The sequence below is a fragment of the Homo sapiens genome, chromosome 9, assembly GCF_000001405.40.
Source record: "Homo sapiens chromosome 9, GRCh38.p14 Primary Assembly".
Classification (NCBI taxonomy): Eukaryota; Metazoa; Chordata; class Mammalia; order Primates; family Hominidae; genus Homo; species Homo sapiens.
Genome location: NC_000009.12, coordinates 87,768,915 through 87,795,252, shown reverse-complemented (window position 1 = coordinate 87,795,252; position 26,338 = coordinate 87,768,915). Strand labels below are relative to the sequence as shown.

Genomic DNA, 26,338 nt, shown 5'->3' with positions numbered 1-26,338 from the left:
GGGGCACTATTAGATTCCAAAACACCTTTAAGAAGAATAATAGTAGCTCTATTCTGGAGTTTTTTTTTGGTAACCACACTTATCTCTTTAATCTTCAAAATACCCACAGAGGTAGGCAGTTTAATTCCCCTTTTACAAGTGAGGAAATGTTGGCTCCATAAGTTTTAGAGACTTGCTCAAAGTTACATGCCTGTGAAGAATCTGAACCATAATTTATTCTCAGAACTATTTAATTCCAAAATCAGCAGTCTTAATTACTCTTTATTTGTTCATTTGATTATTGTCTGTCTCTGCCTGTCAACCATGGTGCTTATAACTTGCCTGACATCACATACATCCTAAATAAATATTTGTAGAATAAATGAATACTATCTCCCCTGAAAACCTAAGGACTGGAAGCATAATGGTGGCACTGCAAGCCACTGTTTTGTTTCGTAGTCCATTGAATTATCAGAGCCAGTGTCCTTGTGGCCCCTAAGGAGTCCAGACAAATCTGTGGCTCTCTGGTACAGGAGTGGAAATTCCTAGTTGCCCTGCAGAAACAATTCATGTTGAGACTTTTTAAGGACTTTATTCTTTTTCTGTTGTTTTTGTAAATATCTTGCACACTATATCAACCAGCTCAACTTATTACAAAGCTGAAAAATGTAAGTAAAGTATAAATCATAAGCAAACCCTTGTTCAGATAGAAGGAAAATTAAGTCTAGCCTCAAAAGATGTTTTCTTTCCCGTAATATCCATGTATTTAATACATATGGCCAGCATTGTTTCTTCTATCAGCAAACCACAGTCACATCTATAGGTGTCTGACTTTCATTGACTTCAAATGATTTCTGACTTTGTGGCACCCTCAGCATCTTGTCTCATCCCTCCTCTTCTCCTCTTAGATTCAGTCCCTTCTCTTGAGTTGGGAGGTTGTCTGGACAGTGTCTTTGCCATCTGCACTGCTCCTCTCCCCAGCCACCCACGTGCATTTGCCCTGCTGTCCTTCAGTGCATTTCCCCCAGGATGCTCTGGCCACACTGACCAGGTGTCTCCGTCTCTACCACTTCTCTTTCCCTGAATGCTGTCCTGTGTTTTCTGGAGCCTGTGAACTTCTTGTGAATGATAAATACCAAGAGCTTCTCAAAATGAGACCCCATGTTCTAAACAGAACCTGCAGTCAGGATTCCAGGGAAGGTCAGCGGGCTCCCACCCCCAGAAGCACTTTGCTGTGTAAAGCATTATGTATGGAACAGAGAGATCACCTGGGGCCTTGGAAAGACATTGAGGAAGGGGGCTACCGGGTTACCAAGTCTGAATTTCTGAAGATAGTTATACTAGGGATGAATTCAATGTAATTCATGAATTATTCATGACTCTCTAGACAGGTTAATGAATGTTTCTTTTAGCCCCTCAGGACTGGATCTCTGAATTGGTGGGGAGCTTCGTGAGAGAGGTCAGGGGGAGTTGGGAGGATACTGATGGAAGTGGGGAGGCCTGCGGTCACCCTGAACTTGCTTGTCTAAAAGTGATGAGAAGGCCTCACCCAAATGCAGGAGCCATGACCCTGACCCATCACTGCCCCACGTTATAGGAGACAGGACTTGACCATCCTCCACAGGTCAGAGCTATTGTCAATCAAGGTGACAGTGCAAGATGCGTTCCCACTCCTGACTCCACCCAATTGCTGTAAATAGAGCCCCTGAGTGCTGTTAGCTTATTTCGAAACGGGGAGACAGTTCAGCAAATGTTTCATCACACTTAACATTTGCTGAAAATACTAACACATTCCCCACTCAAAGATGAGTCACCGTAAGTAACTCAAGGGCACTAGTCCTGCTCTCCACATAAGGGAATATTGGTCCTGAGTAAATGGGACCATATTTAAAGGTAACAAAAGGGATAACATGGGAGATGATGGTGGGATTCGTATCCCAATGACTGCTTTGAGTATATTCTGGCTGGCCAGTGGGTTTCAGTTCCCTTATCTAGACAAAGAAATGCTCCTCATGACTGGCAAAAGCAGGAAAAGTTTTTATCATCAGCTCTATACCAAGGCTGCCGAGCCACTAGAGTGGTCTCTAGAAGACAATGTCATCAGCAATCACTGTTAGCAAGGAGCTTGCTTCTGTAGTGCTGTGTTGTTGCTAATAGTTTTTGTTACAGCAACTGCAATGTAGAAGACTTGATTCAGGGAAGGCAGAAACCGAAACTCGTGCCTTTGAGAAGGTTATGAGCAATGAAGACCGTTAACACCCACCCTCTGCAGGAGGAAGCTGGAAATGGCAAGAGGCACCGCCCATGGCTAGAGCCCCAGCACATGGGTCATGACTCATACTGTGCAGGTCAACTATGGGCCCTGCTTCCTCAGGCCTTGGTTGTGGATCACGCCCTTGATTCTTCCCTTTTAGATGCAGCCCAGTTGCTATGATGCTCCTTGAGTCAATGAGCTCTTTGGCTTGAGCAAGGAAATGGTCTGGCTTCACTTCCAAGAAGCTGACAAGCACCCAAAGGTCTTTTTTCTTTTCTTTTCTTTTCTTTTTTTTTTTTTTTGAGACAGAGTCTCACTCTGTTGCCCAGCCTGGAGTGCAATGGTGTGATCTTGGCTCACTGCAACCTCTGCCTCCTGGGTTCAAGCAATTCTCCTGCCTCAGCCTCCCGAGCAGCTGGTATTACAGGTGCCCACCACCGTACCAGCTAATTTTTGTATTTTTAGTAGAGATGGGGTTTCACCAGGTTGGCCAAGCTGGTCTCGAACTCCTGACCTCAGGTGATCCACCTACCTCAGCCTTCCAAAGTGCTGAGATTACAGGCGTGAGCCACTGTGCCCGGCCCGAAAGGCTTCTTTAGGCAGGTGACAGGACACGGGCGTATCCTGCAAGTGCTCCTAGCAAGCTCTGGGTTTTTGAGCCAGAGGCTTGGGGTTTTCCAGCTCTCAACCTAACATCCCCAAATGTTTGTGGTCCAATTCCTCCATGAAAAACAGGGTAAACACGCCACCCCTGCCAGTGGAGAATGGGTTCCTAAGAGCTGGGAGGCCCGAGTCAGATCTTGAGGCTCTTCACCAAGCAGATGCTGTTGAGCAAAGCAGCAACTTTCTCTCTCTCTCTCTCTCTCTGTCTTTATGTTTGGGAAGGAAGAGCCATCTCAATAGTTTTTCTCACAATTTCCTTTAAGGAAATTGTCTAGGACTCAGTGAAGCCTCAGACCTGTAGAAGATATGAACTGTTCCAAAGAACATATCTGGATTCTGCAATCTGAAAAGCTAGGACCAAGGCAAATGTAGGTACCAGTCGTCAGGAAGTGAGTACTGAGCATGTTAGGAAGAAATTTTTCAGAGGAGGGAAGCAAATAGTGAAGGAGACTCACCCCACTGTTATTCAGAATCATTTCAACTGCCCTCAACTTGTATCCTGTCAGATGGAGGAGGGTAGCCAACCTTACTCTTGAGGCTGAATCAGCCTTCTCTTTGGGCCTTAAAAATAACACTCATAAGAGAATGTTGTTTGTCCTCCCAGCCCTGCAGAGATTTGCATCCATGAGGGAAGCATGGCTCAGTTATAGGCAGACATCAGCACCGTGTGGTTCCCTGCTCTTCATCCACCTCAAGGGAGCATCAGGCACCACACATCTTTACATCTTTGTCTATTTGCTGAGACCCTGTGAGTGTAGCATCAGCAGGTTTTATAAGCCAACCAGTTTCTTCTCATTCCTCTTCACAGAATAAGAAAACTGGAGCTTAGAGAGGTCAAGAAGTTGTGCCCTGATTCTCACACTGGAAGGAAGCCCTGAGAACCTGCACCCATCCCCACCTGGCCTCCCTCACCTACTTGGGAATAAGCCCAGGAAACACAGGCTGATTCTGGGATGATGTTGGAGAGGCCCTACATCCTGCAGGCACTCCCTACTCCACGGTACCCAGTGAGTCAAAGGCTTCTAGAAAGACATTTAGTCACTCAAAGCTGCTGCAGATCCCAGTGTCCAGGGAGGAACTTTCACTCTGGAAAACAGGAGCTCATTTCCCTTTGAGGAAATCATTTCTTTAGGATATCATTTCCAGCCACCACCCAGGATCCTGAGCAGGTGCTGCAGCTCCCAAAGCACCACTGGCGTGAGAAGGTCAAACCTTACAAATACCATGTTATTGTTCCTGTGGAGGACTGCTTCTGCCAGAGAGAGTCCTATCAATACCTCCAATGAGGTGTGACCTTTTTACAAAATGACCTCAACATTCTTTACTGAATGATGACTGTGTGGCCTCTCTTATCTGTTTTTTAAATTCCTCCTGTCTATCTTAAATTTCACATCTTTTGACCAATACCTTCTTAACGACCCACTCACAAGTCCCATGCAAACACCATCCTACTCTCTACTTCTATGAGTTCAGCTTTTTTAGATTTCACATATAAGGTCGATCATGCACTATTTGTCTCTCTGTGCCTGACATGTTTCACTTAACACAATCTCCTCCAGGTCCATCCATTTCACGCAAATGACAGGATTTTCTTCTTTTTTAAGTCTTAATAGTATTCCATGGTGTATATACGTCACCTTTTCTTCATCCGTTCATCTGTTCATGAACACTAAAGTTGACTCTGTATCCTGGCTATTGTGAAGAGGGCTGCAGTGAACCTGGGAGTGAAGATAGCTCTTCCATGTACTGGTTTTCATTCCTTTGAAGATAGAACCCGTTCTGGGACCTCTGCATTATTCAGTAGTTCTATTTTTTGAGGAATCTCCACACTATTTTTCCATTATATGTGTAGTAATTTGCATTCCCTATATCCCTATTATTATAGGTCAAACACAAAATACAATGGGTTATATTTTAGGTCCTATTGAAACAGTCTCAAGACATGTATACCTAATTTGATAAGTTTGGGAGCATAATTCAATAATATAAGGAACTGTATCTTCGCTTTTAACATATATGCTTACCCACCACAATAACATTATAATTAATTTCACCAATTTGGTAACCTGGCTCATGGGAAGAAAGAAATAAGTGAGATTACCTGTGCATCAAATCCTTGAATAAATATTTTCTTAAATAACCAACACCTCTGGAAAGATTCTATCTTTGACCCCATAATAAAGGGGTATAAGATTAGCCCTACTGGCTGGGCACGGTGGCTCACGACTGTAATCCCAGCACTTTGGGAGGCCAAGGCAGGTGGATCACGAGGTCAGGAGATCGAGACCATCCTGGGCAACATGGTGAAACCCATCTCTACTAAAAATACAAAAATTAGCTGGGTGTGGTGGTGGGTGCCTGTAGTCCCAGCTACTTGGGAGGCTGAGGCAGGAGAATCACTTGAACCTGCGAGGCGGAGGTTGCAGTGAGCAGAGATCGCACCACTGCACTCCAGCCTGGGGGACAGAGCGAGACTCCGTCTCAAAAAAAATAGGTTAGCCCTACTACATGCAAATGTTTACATATCTCATTTAATCTTCACAACGATCCTGTGAGGAAAGTAGAATTGTTATGCCCATTTCCTGAGTAATGAAACAGGCTAAGGGGAGGTGTGCAACCTGCCCAAGACCCCAAAGCTGGAAACCATGGAATGGCTGGTCTCTCCCAGTGCTGCCTCTGCCACATCCTCCCCGGCCCTGTCCCTGTGCTCTGGGTGCCTGCAATGATTAAGGGCAGATGTGAAGAGGGAGCACAGGAGGGCTTTGACAGAGGTGTTTCAGGAAGAGGAGGCAAGACCCGCTGCCTAGAGGTGGGGAATGATGTTTCTAAGTAAAGCAAAATCAATACACAGAGGGCAAATTCATTATCCACTGATATGCCGTTCTCAGCTTGAATAACTATTTTTGTTTCAACTTTTGAAACATTGCTTAGCTTCCCAACTGCTTGATGTGGCCCCATCATCTTTGTGAAAGTGGAGTAGCCTCTCCCTATACAGTTGCAACTCTTTCCCACCTAAGGTCCAACACTTCTCATTTATTTTAATTTTAAAGAAATATAGAGCATTGTAAAAAAAAATTTTCCAAACAATAAAAAAGTAACAAATATGAAGGAAAAAATAAAATGTCAACCAGCAAATAATGTTTTACTTTTTGTGGAAAAGAAAAAGAGAGAATACGAAGGCATATATGTGTTTGTTCTCAGGTGCATAAATAAATTCTAGAAGGACACCAGGAAGCTAACAATAGATCCCAGCAATTTGGGAGGCCAAGGCGGGCGGAGCATCTGAGGTCAGAAGTTTGAGACCAACCTGGCCAACATGGTGAAACCCTGTCTGTACTAAAAATACAAAAAATTAGCCAGGCGTGGTGGCAGGCACCTATAATCCCAGCTACTCAAGAGGCCGAGGCAGGAGAATCACTTGAGCCCTGAAGGCGGAGGTTGCAGTGAGCCGAGATCACTCCATTGCACTCCAACCTGGGCAGCAAGAGCAAGACTCCATCTCACACACACACACACAAATAATAAAAAGAAACTAACAATACATGTTGTACGGGTGGGCTGGGGACTGAAGTGCATAAAAAGTTTTTACTGTCCACCTTCTTGTATTTTGGAGATAGGGATTTAAATTATGTGACTTTATTTTCTATTATAAAAAATTTTTGCCAAAATAAAAAAACTGATTCACAAAATAAAACATAAAGTAAAAATCAGTGTTTCCAACACTGTTCCCATTCCTTCCCATTGCAAAGATAATGGTTACTATTTTAATACATATGCCTCTAGGCTTTCTCTGTATATAAACCTATGTTCACCTATTAAAATACATAGACATAGTTATTTTATTCTATTTTGACTTTTAATGGGATCATACTATGTACATTGTTCTGGAATTTGCTTTTTGCTCTCAGTGGCATATGAAGGATACATTTCCATGTTTATACCGATGGAATCATAATTAAATTTTCCCTATTGATAAACACCTGGATTTATTTAAAAATCTGTGAATATGTGACATTTAATATTTATACTTCTATGACTATTTTTATGAGATGAAAATGGATTTGCTGGGGCTGGGAATGTTTCCCTTAAAAATAATGAACAATTCCAAGTCCAAAGACAAGAATATCACATCCCTTTATAACAGTAAACAAGAGGACTCATTCCTGCACACTCTCACAAACTCTAAATATCAGCAACTTCTACACTTTTGAAAAAGTCAATGATTTGAGATAGAAAGAGATCTTGATTTGCCTTGCATCTCATGGGCCCTAAGAGGGCTCAGCTTCTGCTCCTGGTGTGCCTCTCTTGATGCTCACATCTGAGAACAAAGAGGGGCCATAGCTGGACTCCATGGAGGGGGCGTGGCTTCCCCTCCTCAGTCCTTGACTCAGAAGATTTCATCACATCACAGGAGGAGCCATGAGACATCAGTGTCATCTAGGACAGAGGTGGAAAATGGAAATGCTGGGGCGGAGGGGCCTGCAAGAAAGTGCCCATGAATGCTGACGGGAGTCTGGAGAGGCAGTGAGTGTACCCTTGCTAACTGAAAGGTACACTCCTTACCGAAAAAAAAAAATCACATTCCAAAAAGTGGTCACAACGGTACACCTATCCATGGAGCAGAGTTGGCCACCAGCTACACGCCGATCTGAAACAGTAGAGTCTGGTTGTCCAGAGAAATATATGTAAATGTCAGATTTTGGCTTCTATAGAAAAAAAATCCCTTATGTACAAAATTCTAATTTTTAACTAATTTTTTTCTTGTTTCTTGTTATGTTAATTTTAAACTTTCAAAATGAATCTTAATTTTTAGAAAGCTCATAAAGTGCTTATTTTCTCCTCACCTAGACTGAAAATGGAAGGTAATAAAAGAGTAATGATGAGTTTTCCAGGAAGCAAATATTAGGAATTTGCTTATCTTTATTTTAGTATTTATCTATGTGCATATAGATACATTTGGAGTAAAATGAAACTTAAACCTAGTATTACATTGAATGACTTGAAATGGCTATTTCGAAGGTCAAAAGTAGTCAAATGTCAGCAATGTCTTATTAATCAAGGAAAAGCTAACCTGCATTCTTGTTAACTCCACAGCCAATTTATGTTAAAATGTCCAGACCTTTCCGCAGGAGGTGGGAACAATACCATTGAAGAGCTAAGACTCTTGTGAATGAGTTTGGTTGTTTTATGATCTGATTCAGGCTCTGGCTCCATCTCTCTGTTGCTTTGATTACCAACTGGGTGGGAGTTGTGGTAGCAGTTTTGGTAGCAGCCTCAACCAAGGCAAGCAGCTGTGTCTCTTACATGAAGTGTCTGCCTACAGGGGCAATGTTTTCCAAAAGTTTCTTCCTCTTCAGAGAAGCCTTTTTGGCTCTGATTGTAAATAGTGACTAGGCACTGACAGTCAAAACGTTCTGTGTTGCTCTGAGGTGTGAAACATCACCTGTTTGGTGAAGTAACATCCCATAACTGCTACACCTGGGCCTCTCCAGCCAGATGATTCCTCATGTCATGGGGCCATTTGTCTTCATCGTGATCCTCATCCCCACCACTTAGCATCTGCAGAGCCTCCTCGATAAGATGACACTGCACTTGATGCTTCCCAGAATACTAGGAAGATGAAGAGTACAATTGATCCAGTCATCTGTTGGATGTGTACATTTGAGTATGAAACAGAGCTCAAACATACCTGTAAATCTGAGCCTATCCAGCCCACACGTGGTTGAATAAACTCATTGCACCTCACCAAAGAGTTTCACAATGGCTATTTCTGTTGCAACAGAGGATGAAGCACATGCTCTTTCCAATCAAAAGATGTTGAGAAAGGCTCCAGGTCTCCTTGGGGATCCCAGAATCAGACTGAAGATTTGGAAGGGCCTCTGTTGACCACTGAGTCAACCTCCCCAGAACACTTTTATAGAGCCCTTGACCAGTGAATAACCATCAAGTCTCCAAAGATTTGGGGAATTTTCAGACTCCAGGGAAAATTCCATGGATTAAGAGGTGGGATTTTTGAAGACTTTCATAAAGAAATTCTCAAATCAAAACACACTTGAAATTATCATGAGAAGACTAATATACAATTTTGTTCCAGTTGGTCGTCCTTAATAAAAGTGATTTCAGGTGGGCATTGGGTTGAACCAAGACCATTATCTTCCATTGTTGCCATTTGATTTCAAATTGTACCTTGCTGCTTTATATCCTCTTTAGTTCTATCTTGTACCAGATAGAGGCAGAATAGAAAGAAAATGGGTTTTAACAAAACCTATTCGTGCCAACTTGAATAGTAAACACCTATCTGAGGAAAATCTCAAACTTCCTCTAAGATTTCAATAGGATTCTCCAGTTCATAGGCAGGTTATGTGTCTCCAGTGTGTGGCCAATTGTTGTTTAGGAAACAAGATGTCTTTTCCACTGGAAACCCTGTTGGGAAAAGAAAGAGAGATCAGACTGTTACTGTGTCTATGTAGAAAGAAGTAGATATAAGAAACTCCATTTTGTTCTGTGCTAAGAGAAATTCTTCTGCCTTGAGATGCTGTTTAATCTGTAACCCTAGCCCCAACCTTGTGATTGCAGAGACATGTGCTGTGTTGACTTAAGGTTTAATGGATTTAGGGCTCTGCAGGATGTGCTTTGTTAAAAATGTGTTTGAAGGCAGTATGCTTGGGAAAAGTCATTGCCATTCTCTAATTTTGAGTACCCAGGGACACAATACACTGCAGAAGACCACAGGGACCTCTGCCCAGGAAAGCCAGGTGTTGTCCAAGGTTTCTCCCCATGTGATAGCCTGAGATATGGCCTCGTGGGAAGGGAAAGACCTGACCATCCCCCAGCCCGACACCTGTAAAGGGTCTGTGCTGAGGAGGATTAGTGAAAGAGGAAGGCCTCTTTGCAGTTGAGATAAGAGGAAGGCATCTGTGTCCTGCCCGTCCCTGGGGATAGAATGTCTCGGTGTAAAACCCGATCGTACATTCTATTTACTAAGATAGGAGAAAACCGCCTTATGGCTGGAGGGGAGACATGCTGGCGGCAATACTGCTCCTTAATGCACCGAGATGTCTGTGTAAAGTCAAACATAAACCTGGCCTATGTGCACATCAAGGCACAGCACCTTTCCTTAGACTTATTTGTAACACAGAGATCTTTGCTCACATGTTTTCCTGCTGACCCTCTCCCCACCATTACCCTATAGTCCTGCCACATCCCCCTCTCCGAGATGGTAGAGATAGTGATCAATAAATACTGAGGGAACTCAGAGACCAGTGCTGGCGTGGGTCCTCCACATGCTGAGCGCCAGTCCGTTGGGCCCACTTTTCTTTCTCTATACTTTGTTTCTGTGTCTTATTTCTTTTCTCAGTCTCTCATCCCAACTGACGAGAAACACCCACAAGTGTGGAGGGGCTGGCCCCCATCAAACCCTGCACCAAATTCTGCATTTTCTCAGTCTTTGTCTTATAATCCATCCTTCCCAGCACGCTGAAACATGAGACACACTATATAATCAATGAACAATGCATAGGTGGCATAAAATGCCTTGCAGATATACAGTTCTTTAATTTCTGACATATCCGCATGTAGTAGATAATGAATATATTATTATTTATATTTTTCTATGGGAAGATCAGAAGCACAGACTGTTCAAATTACTTGACCAAGGGCACACAAGTAACTTTCCTTTTGTGTTTCAATTATACAATTGCTTCGTGATTCTTTCTTCACGTGGTTGTTGTGAGGAGTGAATGGAATCAAATCAAGTCTGTGTGGAAAGTGCATGGGATGTGGCTTCTTAATGCAGGTTGACTATTGCTAGCATCTATTATTTGTGGTAATGATCACAATGATGATTAACATTGTTAAGAAATAATATCTTGAATTAATGATAATAATAAAGTTGAAATTAGAACTCTCCCTGCGAAGGACATGGAAATTACAGCAGCAAATTCCATCACATTTTGCCTATAAAATGAGTTAATCAGTAAGTTGTGAAGAAATGCACATGCTAATTCACTACAGGTAGGAGCACACAATGAAATCACATTTTTTCAGCAAGTAGATGTATTTCAAAAAATTAGTTTTATAGTACTATTTGCACATCTCTATAAAGATACACATGCAAAGATATAAAGTACAGTATTATTTGTAAATGAAACATAAAAAAGTTGAAATACTCATCAAGAAGAGAAAAGGAGATTGTTAAATGAATTATGATAGGGTCAACAATGGAAAACTCTAAATGTATTGACAAAGAAAGATGTCCATGGTATAGTATTAGATCTAAAATAGAAGAGTTTTGCGGTAGCTCACTCCTGTAATCCTAGCACTTTGGGAGGCCAAGGCGGGAAGATCACATGAGGCCAGGAGTTTGAGGCTGTGGTGAGGCATGGTTGCACCACTGCATTCCAGCTTGAATGAAAGAGCAAAACCATAGCTCAAAAAATACAAGTGAATAAGTAAAATAGAAGAGTTTATATTCCTTGATACCACTTATGATCCTAGACATTTTGCTATAACTTTTGATGGCAGACAGAAGATGGATTCTTCACTCATTCTGTTAACATGGATGTTGTGCTTCCTGAGAAAGAACACTAGAGTGGTGATAGTGTTTGAGTTGACACTTCAAAAGCTACAGACTTCTAAGAGCTGCACCATTCTTGTGGTGACCTGTTCTCCCTGAGTGGGAACATCAGCCCTTGATTTGGAGATCTGCATCAGGACTCATTGTGCTGGGGCCTGCAGTTCCACAGTGCGGTGATGTGACTCCTTGGAAATGGAGACCAGATACCAGGTTACCACAGGGTGAGCTAGAGCAGAGCCAGGTGACAGATGGTGGGCCCTCCTGATTAGGACAGAAACCCCTGCGTCAGTGGGGCACGTTCCATTGATGATGAAAGGGAACCAGGTAGCCCTGGTCAAATGTCTTTTGAGACAATGTGTGAACTTTTATGTAAAGCCTTTCAAGACTTCTTTTTTCTTATGAAATCTGGAGAAGAGGAAGTAGCCACACTTTCTCAGATTCCCTCTACTAGGGGGATGGAATGGCTACAGAGAAACCTCACTACTCAGGGACCCATAAATGAAAAAACTGCCCAGAACATTAGTTCAATGAGGAGGAAAGGAGGTGCAAAGTTTATACGTCATTCAAAGGGGAAATTGATTCCCATCTACCGCCCAATTTGAGAAATGCATCATTAGGCCATCTCATTGTTGTGTGACTATCATAGAGTGAACTTACACAAATCTAGATGGTAGAGCCTTCTACACATTCAGGCTTCTCCAGCACAGGGAATGTCTCAGTGTTGGTTCATCATTGATTCCTCAGCACAAGACCTGACTTAAAGAGACTCAATAAAATTTTTCAGAATGAATGAATGAAAAAACACTGTTGCCTGAATCCAGCCATGGTGCTACCACGATCACAAATTCCCTGCCCTTTTCACCCCAACATTTCATCCCCCATTCCTGGGTGGAACAGAGTGGAGACTGCAAAGGAGGAAATGGGGTCAATACCCAGTTCCACAGCTCTGGCTAAGGGCTGGAGGTTAGGGCAAAACTTAATCATTCAAAGCCTGGTCTCCTAGGCCAGTGTCAAATGAATCAGGCCTAAACTGATCAAGACCCTCTGCCTCACCCCTACCCTCTCTTCTCTAGTGGAATTGGGAGAATATTTGACAATTCTATTACCCTTCTTGCAAGACTTCAAATCCATTCGTGGTTCCATATGGAATTCCCAGATGAGAAAGCTTTTGAGGACAATGAAGTTAAGAAATGGAAGAAACCTGGCAGGCGACCTTCCCAAATGAGAAGGAATCAGCTCTTTTGGTTTATGATGTTTGAGGGTGTTTCCCTGAATCAAGTTAAACACTTCTCTAGTGCATTACAGTAGGATTCTAGATGAGAAGAAATGGTCAAACAATAAACATGGTCAATATACAGTATCTCAATGTCAACAGCATTTATTGCAGTATTTGTGTGCCTTTGGATTTAATGTCATTTCTCAAGGATATGTCCATTTCTGAGAGAGGATTTATGGAATGGCTGGTATATTAATACTCATATTATCTCAATTAATTCTTAACACAACCTTATGAGACTACTGGAATTATTTACATTTTATTGTAGGGTATGTCATTCACCAAATTTTATGCTTACCAAAGATGAGGATGAAATTATCTACATTCCAAAGTCAATATAAGTTGGGTAGTATATTGGATCAAAGTATACTGATGTTGCTTCTATTGGTTTCTCATTTTTCCACTGAATCTTTTAATGCAGACAGGACTGTAATGTAGAAAGGTTTTAAAATAGAAGCTTTCAAATATTCTGTAATTTTGGTTATCAAAGCTTAGTATTTCCAGTAAAATATTATTTTCCACTCTCTCATCCATCTCAATCAAAATAACAAATTAGAAACAAAGCATAAATAATTTTCACTTCCTCTACAATCCAAAAGAAAAGCCAAAGAAGTAAAATAGAAATGAATGTTCAGACATACCAATTCCCCTCCTGTGACTATACCCAAGAAATTGATAAGCATATGTTAATGCAAAAATGTGTGCACAGGTGTTCCTAGCACATTATTCATAATAGCCAGAAAAGTGAAAGCAATCAAATGTTCATCAATTGATGAACGGATTAATATTCATGCAATGGAATATATACAGTGTATTCATGCTCTGCAGTATTTTCAGTCATAAAAAGGAATGAAGTACTGATGCGTGCTATAATATGAACAAGCCCTGAAAACGTTATGCTAAATAAAAGCAGCCAGACACAAAAGATCACATATTTTATGATTCCATTCACATGAAAGGCCCAGAATAGAGAAATCTATAGAAGCAGAGTGGATTATGCAAATGAAGGTAGAGGGAATTAGAACTAACTGTGGGCTATAGTTTGAATTTTTTCTCCTAAATTCCTGTTGAAACTTAATCCCCCATATGGCAGCATTGAGAGATGGGCCATATAAGGGATGATAGGATCATGAGGGCTCTGTCCTCAAGAATGGATTAATCCATTCATGGGTTAATAGATTAATGGGTTATCATGGGAATGAAACTGGTATTTTAATAAGAAGAGAAAGACCTGAGCTACCATCTTAGCACACTCAGTCCCTTCACCATGTGATGACCTGTGCCACCTCAGGACTCTGCTGAGATTCCCCACTAGCAAGAAGGCTCTCACCAGATGCACCTCTGTGACCTTGGACTTTCCAGTCTCCAGAGCTGTAAGAAATAAATTTTGTTTCGTTAGGAATGACCCGGTGTTAGACATTCTGCCGTAAGCAACAGAAAACAGACTAAGACACTGATTAATAAATACAGGACTTATTTTTGGGGTGATGAAAATGTTCTGGTGTTAGATAGTGGTAATAGTTGCATAAGACAATGAATACATTAAAAACCACCAAATATTTTGAGATGATGAGTTCTACGTTATGCAAAGTATATCTCAACAAAAGAATGCTATATACAGGCATGCACTGCATAATGACATGTCAGTCAAGGACAGACCACATATATCATGGCCAATGGTGGTCACATAAGATTATAATGAAGCTAAAAACTGCCTATCACCTACTGGCATCATATCTGTGGAAACGTTTAGTGCTGCTTACATATTTGTGGTGATGCTGGTGTAACAAACCTACTGTGCTGCCAGTCATATAAAAGTCTAGCACATACAATTGCATACACTATATAATACTTGATAATGATAATGCACAACTATGCTGTTGGATTATGTATTTACTATACTAGACTTTTTATTCTTACTTTAGGGTGTACTCCTGCCTGTAAAAAGAAAATTTTAGATATAAAACCACCTGAGGCGGTTCCTTCAGGAGGGATTCCAGAAGAAGGCATTATTATCACAGGAGATGACAGCTCCCTGTGTGTTACTGCCCTTGAAGCCCTTCCAGTTCAGTAAGATGTGCAGGTAGAAGATGGTAATAGTGATGACCCTAACCCTGTATAGGCCCAGGCTAATGTGCATTTGTGTCTCAGTTTTTAAAAAAAATTTAAAAAGTAGAAATAAAAATTAAAAATTGTAACAATAGAAAAACTATAATAGAATAAGAATATAAAGAGAACAATTTTTGTATGTCTGTGCAGTGTCTTTGCATATTAAGTTAAATGTTATTACAAGAGTCAAAAACTTTTAAAAATTTAGAAGTAGATAATAGAAAAAAGTGACAGAAAGTTAAGATTAATTTATTATTAAAGAAAAAAAAAATTTTTTTTTTTGAGATGCAGTCTCACTCTGTCACCCAGGCTGGAGTGCAGTGGTGCAATCTCAGCTCACTGCAACCTCCACCAACCTGGTTCAAGCAATTCCTGTGTCTCAGCCTCCCGAGTAGCTGGGATTACAAAGGCATGCCACCACGCCCAGCTAATTTTTTTTGTATTTTCAGTAGAGACAGAGTTTCACCACATTGGCCAGACTGGTCACAAACTTCTGACCTCAGGCAATCCGCCCGACTTGGCCTCCCAAAGTGCTGGGATTACAGGTATGAGCCACCATGTCTGACCAAAAATATTTTTTATAATTTAAGTGTAGCCTAAGTGTTGAGAGCAGGCCCCCCAAAATCTGGCCATAAACAAAATCTCTGCAGCACTGTGACATGTTCATGATGGCCATAACGCCCACACTGGAAGGTTGTGGGTTTACCGGAATGAGGGCAAGGAACACCTGGCCCGCCCGGGGCGGAAAACTGCTTAAAGGCATTCTTAAGCCACAAACAATAGCATGAGCGATCTGTGCGTTAAGGACACGCTCCTGCGGCAGTTAACTAGCCCAATCGATTCCTTTAATTCGGCCCATCCCTTTGTTTCCCATAAGGGATACTTTTAGTTAGTTTAATGTCTGTAGAAACAATGCTAATGACTGGCTTACTGTTAATAAATACGTGGGTCGATCTCTGTTCGGGGCTCTCAGCTCTGAAGGCTGTGAGACCCCTGATTTCCCACTTCACACCTCTCTATTTCTGTGTGTGTGTCTTTAATTCCTCTAGCGCCACTCGGTTAAGGTCCCCCAGCCAAGCTGGTCACGGCACCTAGGTATACAGTATATAGTCTACAGTAATGTACAGTAATGTCCTAGGCCTGCACATTTACTTCAAAGTCACTCACTCACTGACTTACCCAAGGCATCTTCCAGTCCTGCAAGTTCCATTCATGGCAAGTGCCCAATACAGGTACATCATTGTTTATCTTTTAGACTGTGTTTTATTGTACCTTTTCTATGTCTACGTATGTCTAAAAACATAAATGCACAGTATTGTGTTGCAATTGCCTATAGTCTTCAGTACAGTCACATGCTGTACAGGCTTGTGGCCTACCATCTAGCCTGAATGTGTAGAAGGCTCTACCACCTAGTGTGGATGTGTAGAAGGCTCTACCATCTAGATGTGTGTAAGTTCACTCTATGATAGTCACACAACAGTGAGATGGCCTGATGATGCATTTCTTAGAACATTTCCCTGTTGTTAAGTGACAAATGACTGTATTTTTTTAAAAAATACACATTAGGTGAAAATCAGTCTCTGTGTCAGTTTGGTGAGTGGTGAAGACAGAAGCTTCTGTGCTGTGAGAGGCTCAGCTTGCAGATGCACCTGCCCTCGGGGTTGCTGCAGAGGAAGGGCATCTCCCTTTGTGAGTTCCTGCAACTCCTGGAAATTAAAGCATTACTAGAAAAGTTCTCTGCCATGATGGTGATGATGGTGATGATAGGAATAGCTAAATAACTCCTAGGTACAGGCACTGTTTTGAGCATTTCACATGTGCTCTTCATGTCATCTTTACAACAAACCTATGGCAGTGGTTCTCAAACTTCAGCATGCATCAGAATCACACAGAGGCTCCTGAAGACTCAGATTGCAGGGCCCATTCTGTGAGTTTTTCACTCAGTAGGTCTGAGACAGGGTTGCATAATCTGCTTTTCTAACAAGTTCCCAAATAGTACAGGTGCTACTGGTCAGAGAACCACCTTTGAGAACCACTGCCCTAGGAGATGAGGGCTCTTTTATGCCCCATTTTACAGGTGATGGTGGAAGACACTTCTTTCTTCCTCCAACTCCACCAAGTCATTGACAATTAATTCCTTGACGACATTGTCCTCTAGGTCAAACGTCCCCAACCCCTGGGCTGTGGACCTGTACTGTTCCATGGTCTGTTAGGAACTGGGCCATGCAGCAGGAGGTGAGTGGCAGACAAGCAAGCATGACCGCCTTAGCTCCATCTCCTGTCAGAGCAGCTGCAGCATTAGATTCTCATAGGAGCATGAACCCTATTGTGAACTGTGCATTGGAGGGATCTAGGTTTTGTGCTCTTTAGGAGAATCTCAGTAATGCCTGATGATCTGAGGTGGAACAGTTTCATCCTGAAACCATCCCCCCAGTCTGTGGAAAAAATGTCTTCCACAAAACCAGTCCCTGGTGCCAAAAAGGTTGGGGACCACTGCTCTAGGTTCATACAGTAGCTTTTTAGATTGGGTCCTGCAATTTAGAAAACCTTTTCCTCTCTTTTCAATCTTCACTTACTGGACCATTGTTAAGTCAGAAATTCTGTTTGGGAGGTCTAATGCTGAACACCAATTCTTTCTTTTTCTTTGCATTCCTGTTGTTAAAATCCATAGTCTGTGAGAAAACAATACCCCTCGCTATAGAGGGGAAAGGTCCCTGTAAAGAGAATACAAAAAAGATTTTAAAAAATGCATCACTCCCCTTGCATTATATACACCACAGGTCTGTAGGCATAGGGCCGGGGTCAGAATCTGATACTCTCCTCTCCCTTCCACCCCACCTGCTCCAGCACCTGCTCCACGTGAAATAACTCAGATGTGGGGAAATCTTCTGCTAGAGAAAGGGGCGGGTGGTGGTTCCTACCAATCCGAAATAATCAAAAAGCCAGAATCTAGTTAAAGAAAGGTTGAGGACTCCAGCCAGGGACACACTTCCAAGTTTCTTTGGGGAGTGCTCAAGGGAACAAAAGGGAGGTCTAAGTTTTTAAAGAAAAACAAAAGGTTTAATCAGGAGAGGGAGCAATTATAAAAGTTGTTCGTCAGGAATTCTCATTGGTTTACAGAAGTAATGTTGGTTAGTGACTGGCTACACATTGTGGAACTATAGATCGTGTGGCATTTTATGGCTACTTGGCATCAGTTAATCTAGAGCCTGCAGAGCAAGTGTCTTCCAGAGATAATTATTTGGCTCAAGGGGAGTGGGACATGACTGCTGTTACGTTTTAAATGCCTTTTTGGGCCTAATCATTTAAAGGGGCTCTCATTCATTGGGTAAAACTCAATGGAGAGTCACAGAAAACAGAAAGTGCTTTTGAGGAAGTTTTGAATGGAAGCAGGACATGAGAGTTGGGAACTGTGTGTTGGGGAATGACCTCCTGACTGGGGCCTTGGGAGGGGTGTGGTGTCTTGGTTGCTGATCCTGTGAACTGTGGAGAAGGTCAGGTTTAGCATAAACTGTTCCCTGTGGTCCTCCTGCAATTCTCCTAATGACTGTCAGCCCTCAGTACCAGGGTCCCATACACCCCTGCAGCACTGCATTCCCTTTTGTTGGAGTTCCACCTCCTGAGACCAAATCCTGGCTTCCTCACTGACTAGCCCTGTGCCCTTGGGCAAGCTCCGTAACCTCTCTAACCTCACTGTACTCATCTGTAAAATGGGGATGAGGGTTATTCTGATGATCAAATGCCATAATACACGACAAGGCAAATGCGATGCTTGACACGTAAGTGAGCAGTGTGTTCCCAGTTGACCACTGGTTTCAGGTGGACAAAAACAGGTACAGTGAGATTTTGGGTGAGTCTTTGGGGGTTTTCTCCCCGTTTTTCTTATTTATCTATATTTTTGTTTTGAATAATGATTACTTGTTGTATTTGTTTTTTTACCTAAAAAATTATTGAGAAGCAACAGATAAAACTGCTGGAAGGATGAAGGGTAAGGTCCTCTAAGAATCCTTGAAAACAGCCACGAGCAAGTTACTCATTGGAAGCACTAATGGAGGAAACCAAGCCACCTCAGTGGCAGGCTTAGTGCTCTTGGACAAGGTGGAGGGAATGGGAGACATTATTGGTTATAAACCAGAGAGCTGGTAGGTTAATTGTTCTATCTGGTAAACATTTATGGAGTCTGCATTTGTATAACAAATCAATGGCTTTTTCATCAAATTATGAACAGGTGAGGACATAGAGACTGGAGTTTGAGGGCAAATGTTCACTCATGACTGTTCTACGCACAGTTTACCAGGGCGTCACAACAATGGTCAGTCCAAGAAAGTGATTTTTGATGTGCTTATTATGTTTCTGAGAATATGCAGGAGAAGAAGGGGAAGAACAAAAGTTTCCCAGATGGGCCACCAGTTGGCAAGCTTACATTTTAGCCAGAAATTATGCCCACCATTGACCTATTTCAGTGTGTCCCCACATATATAGAGCTCAACACACAGAAACAAGAGAGTAAGCAATGATCATGGGAACTGGTTTGGCTGAGAAGAGCATAGAAGTATAGAAGTTCCTTAATCCTACATCAAAGCATAGAAGAGTGCTCACCACAGGCAGCGTGTTGACATGGCTCCAGGTCATGTTTATGGCCCTGTGTCCCTAATCTGTCCATCTCTGCTTTAAGACTTCAGGTGACCAGCCCCGCCCTGCACCCCCCTCCACTTGTCACATGCCCTTTTACTTTCTTGTGTTTCCTGACCACTCTATCTAAAATCTTCAGTGACATATCTTACAATATTATCCCAACAAGGGTGTTTCAGTGATACCGGGGCACGCTAATCTTCCAAAACATCTTTAAGATGAATAATACCTAGATGGGATTTAGGCTCCCATCTAAAGCTAGCAGAAATACAAATGAGCATAAATCCTTTTGTAAAAACTTGCCCAGAAGCATAAAAGACCACTCTTGGAAAGCTTGTTACTTCACTCTAGTATGTCTAAGGTACAGAACACTGAAATCTTTGAATCAAGGGCTCTTTTCAGATTTAGTAACAGAGGTAAATAAATCTTTGGAACAATTTGAAATATCCAACAATTGGAGAGAACTTAAGTAAATTAAGCTATATAATAAATAACAATTCATAAAGCGTTATGAATTACTTGCATTCATGGGGTTATGTGCCCATGAATATAAATACTTCATAACGCTTTATGAATTGTTATTTATGGCTTGGTGCAGTAGCTCACACCTGTAATCCAAGCACTTTGGGAGGCCGAGGCAGGAGGATCACCTGAGGTCAGGAGTTCGAGACCAGCCTGGCCAACATGGCAAAACCCCATGTCTACTAAAAATACAAAAATTAGCCAGGTGTGGTGGTGTGCACCTGTGATTTCAGCTACTTGGGAGGCTGAGACAGGAGAATCACTTGAACCCAGGAGATGGAGGTTGCAGTGAGCTGACATCATGCCATTGCACTCCAGCCTGGGTGACAGAGCAAGATTCCGTCTCAAAAAATAATAAATAAATAAATAAATAGTTATGCATTGTATGGAAACATCAGGTAGAAATATTGCATGTAGGCCGGGTGTGGTGGCTCATGCTTATAATCCCAGCACTTTGGGAGGCTGAGGCGGGCAGATCACCTGAGGTAGGGAGTTCAAGACCAGCCTGGCTAATATGGTGAAACCCCATCTCTACTAAAAACACAAAAATTAGCCGGGCGTGGTGGCAGGGGCCTGTAATCCCAGCTACTCAGGAAGCTGAGGCAGGAGAATTGCTTGAACCCAGGAGGCGGAGGTTGCAATGAGCTGAGATTGCGCCATTGCACTCCAGCCTGGGAGACAAGAGCGAGACTTCATCTCAAAAAAGAAAGAAAGGAAGGAAGGAAGAAAGAAAGAAAGAAAGAAAGAAAGAAAGAAAGAAAGAAAGAAAGAAAGAAAGAAAGAAAGAAAGATTACATGTATAAAATAAACTATGTGAAATCTACGAACCCAAATATTTACATTGAATTTTTTGTACCAAATAGTCCATCCTGCTTGTGTATCATGGTGGTTTTCAATTTTTCTTCCTCAATGTCTACAAAGAAAAACTCTTACCTTCTTTTTTTATAGGACCAGAAGGAATCAAGAAGTCCATAAACAACAGCAGAGATGCGCCCCACAGTTGCCACAGCCTTCATTAGGGCCTTCTCTTCCACAGGGAGTATTTGCATGTACCCAGTGTCATTAGTAGCAGAATACTTGGGATTGTACCTACAGGCTTTTTCCTTTTAAAAGTAAAGGGGGAAGAGACTTGATTACCACCATCCTCCTCCTGGACAACATGAGTTAGAACCACAATGCTCAGTAGTTTGCAACTTAGGATTTCCCAGGAAATGAAATGCTATTTGTTGACTTGAAACTAAACATTAGCTCAAGTCTCTTGAATGAGACCCTTAGGCTTACTAGCCACAAGAAATTTTTCACAGTGGAGAAATGTGTATTATATGTAAAATAGTTTGTATATTCTCAATGTTACTATGTTTGGATATTCTCTATCTTATATGTTCTTGCTAACATATAGCAAGAACAGCTGTATGTTAACCACATAATCATAGAACTGTGCAAAGGCTAATAATTTATAATGACAGCACTGACAGTTTGCAGATATAGATTCTACCATCTAAAATGTGAGTTCTGAAAAAACTGTGTGTTACCTCTGAAAGCGTTCCACTTCCCAAAAGCAGAGCTGGAATGACAGCAAGATAAAGAGCTCCACTTACCTTTTCTTCATATGAAAAGGATTCCTCAGAGTCCAGGCCTCCATTGTCGGCAACATACTGGAAGCAAAATAATGGTTCTCCAAAAATGCAGCCAACATTGCCTTGAAGCCTAGAGCAGTCCACCAGGTCTGCACACTCAGTGAAACTAGTTTCTCAGTTTTCCTAACATCTGTCCTTACAGAGCCCCAGCTGCACTAAAAGCATAAGAAGATGCACACTTACCATGATAAAAGAATAAAAAAGCTGTCATTCACAAAGCAAATAGCAAAACTTTGACAACAGCTCATCTTTCTGAATACTATGAACTGCAAGTTGTTCTACACTCCACTAAAGCAAAGAGGTCGATCACCTCTTGGCTTTCCTGGGGAGATGGGAGGTCTGAATCTGACACTGTCTTACCTGATCCTTCACAGGAGTCACGTAGCCTTTCTCTCTCCAATCCACAGATTTGCGGATGTCATGAAGCAGAGGTTCCTGGAGCACTTTCCCCTTCCTGTGCTTCTGGTTTTGAAAGCCATTCACCACCTGCCTGAATTCTTCACTGGTCTTCAAGGAAAAGGAAATAAAATGTTGAAAAGCAAGAGATTACTTTAATAAAGAACCGAGGAGAGGAAGCACAGAGCTCGGCAGTCCACAGCACACTCACCATTTCTCCAAAGGCGTTCATGGCCATTGTGAAGCTGTGTTTCCCTTCCCTGTATTCCTGATTGTGCTGCTCAATCATCTTCATGTTCTGCCACACTGCTCTCCTCCATCCTTCTTCATTCTAGAGGCAAATATGTAATTGATGCTCTTTATTTCTAACTAAAACCCAACCCATGCTCACCGAGTGAATCTGCAGACAAAAGTGAAAAAGAAACCATGGCCAGAGAAGGCTTGACGCCTCTGGGAGATGTTCTCCAAGTCAAGAAACAACAGGAGCCTATGCCCACATCGTACTCATAATTGGTGCCATTAGGTTATTGCATTAGGTTATTGGTAAGAGCTGGCCTCTAGTAGCTACTCTTTGGCTATAATCTCCAAACACCAAGGACCATTCTCCCAGGAATCCCTCTGGATGGTTTCAGGTGCCACCAACCATGCCATATAATCTCTTGTGCTTTGCCTTCCACTGATCTAAACTGTGATCAAGTGTTAGACTAGCTGAGGCTAATCTCAGGCAAAAGACAGCAAGGAGGAGTGAAGGATTCATGTTTCAAAACCTAGGAAGGGAAAAGAAATGAGGATCTGATTAGACCAATCCTAAAAAGCCATCTTACTGCTACCTGAGAAACTTTGGCCACCATAGTAGAATAAAAATATTTAAATTATTTTCCCATGCATTTACCTAAGGACGGTGAAAGAGGCCAAGGATCTGGTTGGAGGAAAACAGGGCAAGTGGAGGTATTGGATGGACTCACCAAAATGAAAAGCAGCCTGTCCAGAGCTGTAGGAGCTGAAACAGTTTATGCGATGATAATTTAGGTTATGAAAAATATGAAGGTACCTCGTGTGTGAGAAGGTTAAGGCAACAGCTAGGAAACTAACTGATCTAGGTTTTGTACAAATTGTACTGAGGCCATCCAGGCAAAACCTCACCAATGGAGACTTCTAATCCCAAGTAGGGACAAAGGGATCCCCAATAATTGGGAGGTCACTTCACACCTTGTTTTTGGCTAGTACACAGCAGGAGGTGAGCTATGTTTTCCAGTCTCCCCTTCTTGCAGGAAACCTTTCTGGAATGCCTTCCCAGGAGACAGTGGGAAGGAGAGCACACACTGCTCCCGCAGCCCTACATGTCGCCAGTACTGCCAACACCTCATCTGCCTCTCCAAAACCAGGGCTCCTGGCTGAGCTCCCAGGCCAGGTCCCATGCTGCTTGCCCCCACCCTCTGCTCAGGCTCACTGTGGCCACGGGGCATGTGCGGTGGTGCAAGGAGCAAGGGACATCTCCACCTGACTTGCAGGGGTCGAGCTTCCCTGTCCTGCCCAACCAGCCCTAGGAATACCATAGCTCAGCACCCCAGAAATGCCCCCACTCACAGAGCGGAGGTACTCGCCGGGCACCGGGGTGGCCCCCGTCCCGTCTGTACAGGCACAGTCGGCAAGTGCAGGGTCCAGGGGTCTTCAGTCCTCTGCGGCCGCCTCAAGGTTGCCAGTTTGACCTCTAAAGTCCCCCACCAGGATGCCACCCAGGCGGCTCTGTCCCCACCGCCTGCCCGCACTGTGATTGGCTGAGCCGCCTCTGGGCGTAGCCTCAGGGCACTGGGACGCAGCACCATGCAGCTCAGTCCCAACCTGTCGCAGGACCCGGCGCGCCTGCCTAGAGGACCCGAGGCAGGAGTTGGGGGCGGGGAGGTGGAGCTGCGCCATCCAGGGGCTGCCGAGTGGAGGGTCGGAAGTCTCCCTCTAGGGTCTGGATCAACAAAGCACCCGACTTAATGCGCTGGGAGAGTGATTCATGAAAAGAAATTTAAAGCTAGCCCTGTGTGCATTATCAGCCCAACCCTGCTTTTCTTTAGTCCTAGTTCTTTACTAAAATCTCCTGCAGGGCTGAGATTTACTATAGTCCAGTGGTTCCTGTTTAGTCCACAGAAAGGTGGGGCCGGGTGGAAGAATGCAGGGCCCGCGAGCAGAAGCCTTCTCTCCCATTTAAGGGTGTGTGCAGCTGAGCTTTAGTAGAATCTGGTAGAGAAAGGCACCCCCAAAACACGCATGCAATGGTCAAGACCAGACCCTGGGGAGGGAGGGGACTGGCTCGGTCTCCAGAGACCGCGGGCGTTTGTCGTGCGTCCTTTCCAGTCTCCTCCATTCGGGGATTCTTCCTTCCTTCAAGTCTTTCATTAAGTAAGTGAATGAATCAGTCGTCAATAATTAATGAAGCTCCTCTAACTTTGTGCTCATTGTCCTTTGCTTGGGACAGTTGGAGCATTGCCTTAGAAACTTAGAAATGTCCAGGTAGCTTTCCTAACTGCTTTTCTGAGGCCCAGCCTTTCCATTTTAAAATCTAAGATTAACTCAGTAATCTTGCTTTTACAGCAAATGGGCACAGAGTTTGACAGATATTTTTAAAAAATTATGGCCAAGCCTCTTGATGCATTAGGTAAGAAGGTAGCTGGCTGGGCGCGGTGGCTCACACCTGTAATCCCAGCACTTTGGGAAGCCAAGGTGGGCAGATCACTTGAGGCCAGAAGCTCGAGGCCAGCCTGGCCAACATGGTGAAACTCCATCACTACTAAAAATACAAAACTAGCCTGGCTTTGTGGCGGGCGCCTGTAATCCGAGCTGCTGGAGAGGCTGAGGCAAGAGAATCACATGAACCTGGGAGGCAGAGGTTGCTGATCTTGTAGAATGTCTCCCCAGATTCCTAATCTTCACTCCTGAATCTATAATCCACAAACTTTTCTTTGAAGGCCAGAGGATCTCTTCTCGAGATCTGACCTGTTCCTTCTGCCATCTGCCTGATTTCTCCTCCTACAATAGGAAAGCACCACATCCGTGGATACTGTGAAAGAAAAATGAAGTGATTAACAGAAGCAATTGTGGCCTCCTCCAATCAGAAATGAGTTGTATACAGAATTCTTACATGCTATTTTCTTTTTCTATCTTAGCAATGATCCCAAATAAAGATCAGACCCCTTATTCAGAGGGTGAGTTAGTTCTCAACAGTAGAAGTTGGGTCCTCGGTGTATCCTGTGGATTTGAGGGGGAAAATTGGAATTGCTTGGGACCATAGCTGCAGGTCTGATTTGAGGACAATGAGACAGGACAGAGACCAAGACAGAGAGGCAGCCACTGCTGCAGGGCTGGGCGTGGGAGGGGAGAGAAAAACAGGACACAAGAAAAACAAGTATAAACCTCCAGAGTGCAGTGAGATATTAACAGAAGTTCCAAAGTTTATATTGAAAAGATTCCTCTGGTTGGGGGTTTTGAAGGGATCGTATAAGGAATTGGGGATTATTCCTGATTATTATTGATTATTCAGTTTTATTTCCTTTTCATGGTCTCAAATATTTTTAAAAAGAATGTTTTACCAATACCACATGGTCTCACTTATAAGTGGGGGCTAAACATTGAATGCACATGGACACAAAGATGGGAACAATGACACTGAGGGCTACTTGTGGTGGAAGACTGAGAGGGGGACCTTGATTGGAATGCCGCCTGTTGGGTACTCCACTTACTACCATGGTGAGGGGATCATTTGTACACCAAGCCTCAGTGACATGAAATTTTCCCATGCAACAAACCTGCACACTAATCCCCTGAGCTTAAAGTGGAAAAAAAAAATGTTTATGTGTGTTTTTAGAATTGGTGAATGACACAAACTATACATCTAACAAAGGTCTAATATTGACTCTGTAAGGAATTTAAACAACTCAACAAGCAAAAACCAAATGACTTCATGGAATAATGGGTGAAAGATATGAATAGACACTTCTCAAAAGAATACATACAAGTGGCCAACAAACATATGAAAAAGTGCTCAACATCACTAATCATCAGAGAAATGCAATTCCAAACCACAATGAGATACCATCTCCCACCAGTCAGAATGGCTTTTATTAAAAAGTAAAAAAATAACAGCTGCTGGGGAGGCCATGGAGAAAAGGGAACACCTATATACTCTTGGTGGGATTGTAAATTATTTCAGCCACTGTGGAAAGCAGTTTGGAGATTTCTCAAAGAACTTAAAACAGAACTACCACTTGAACCAGCAATCCTATTACTGGATATATATCCAAAAGAAA

General features: G+C 42.8%; 1 pseudogene across 1 annotated transcript, besides 3 other annotated features; it reads right to left on the bottom strand.

Moving 5' to 3' along the window:
* Positions 1,545-1,839: an enhancer, noted in NCBI's record as "tiled region #3109; HepG2 Activating DNase matched - State 8:EnhW". NCBI's record gives its function as "activates a minimal TATA promoter and a strong SV40 promoter by Sharpr-MPRA in HepG2 cells {active_cell/tissue: HepG2}" and the evidence as "EXISTENCE:reporter gene assay evidence [ECO:0000049][PMID:27701403]".
* Positions 1,765-2,964: an enhancer, noted in NCBI's record as "P300/CBP strongly-dependent group 1 enhancer chr9:90407204-90408403 (GRCh37/hg19 assembly coordinates)". NCBI's record gives its function as "activates an origin of replication core promoter dependent on BRD2, BRD4, P300/CBP, MED14 and CDK7 cofactors, with strong dependence on P300/CBP, by STARR-seq in HCT116 cells {active_cell/tissue: HCT116}" and the evidence as "EXISTENCE:reporter gene assay evidence [ECO:0000049][PMID:35650434]".
* Positions 2,007-2,516: a transcriptional cis regulatory region, noted in NCBI's record as "candidate enhancer chr9.1075 targeted for multiplex CRISPR interference". NCBI's record gives its function as "positively regulates CTSL gene expression with high confidence in K562 cells {active_cell/tissue: K562}" and the evidence as "EXISTENCE:mutant phenotype evidence [ECO:0000015][PMID:30612741]".
* Positions 8,369-22,338, bottom strand: CTSL3P (cathepsin L family member 3, pseudogene; annotated as a pseudogene). Its single transcript, NR_027917.1, has 5 exons — positions 22,255-22,338; positions 22,008-22,154; positions 21,609-21,802; positions 14,025-14,118; positions 8,369-8,506 (listed from the first exon to the last, which is right to left on the bottom strand). The product of NR_027917.1 is annotated as a cathepsin L family member 3, pseudogene (transcript).
* Between the last annotated feature and the right edge of the window lie 4,000 nt (positions 22,339-26,338).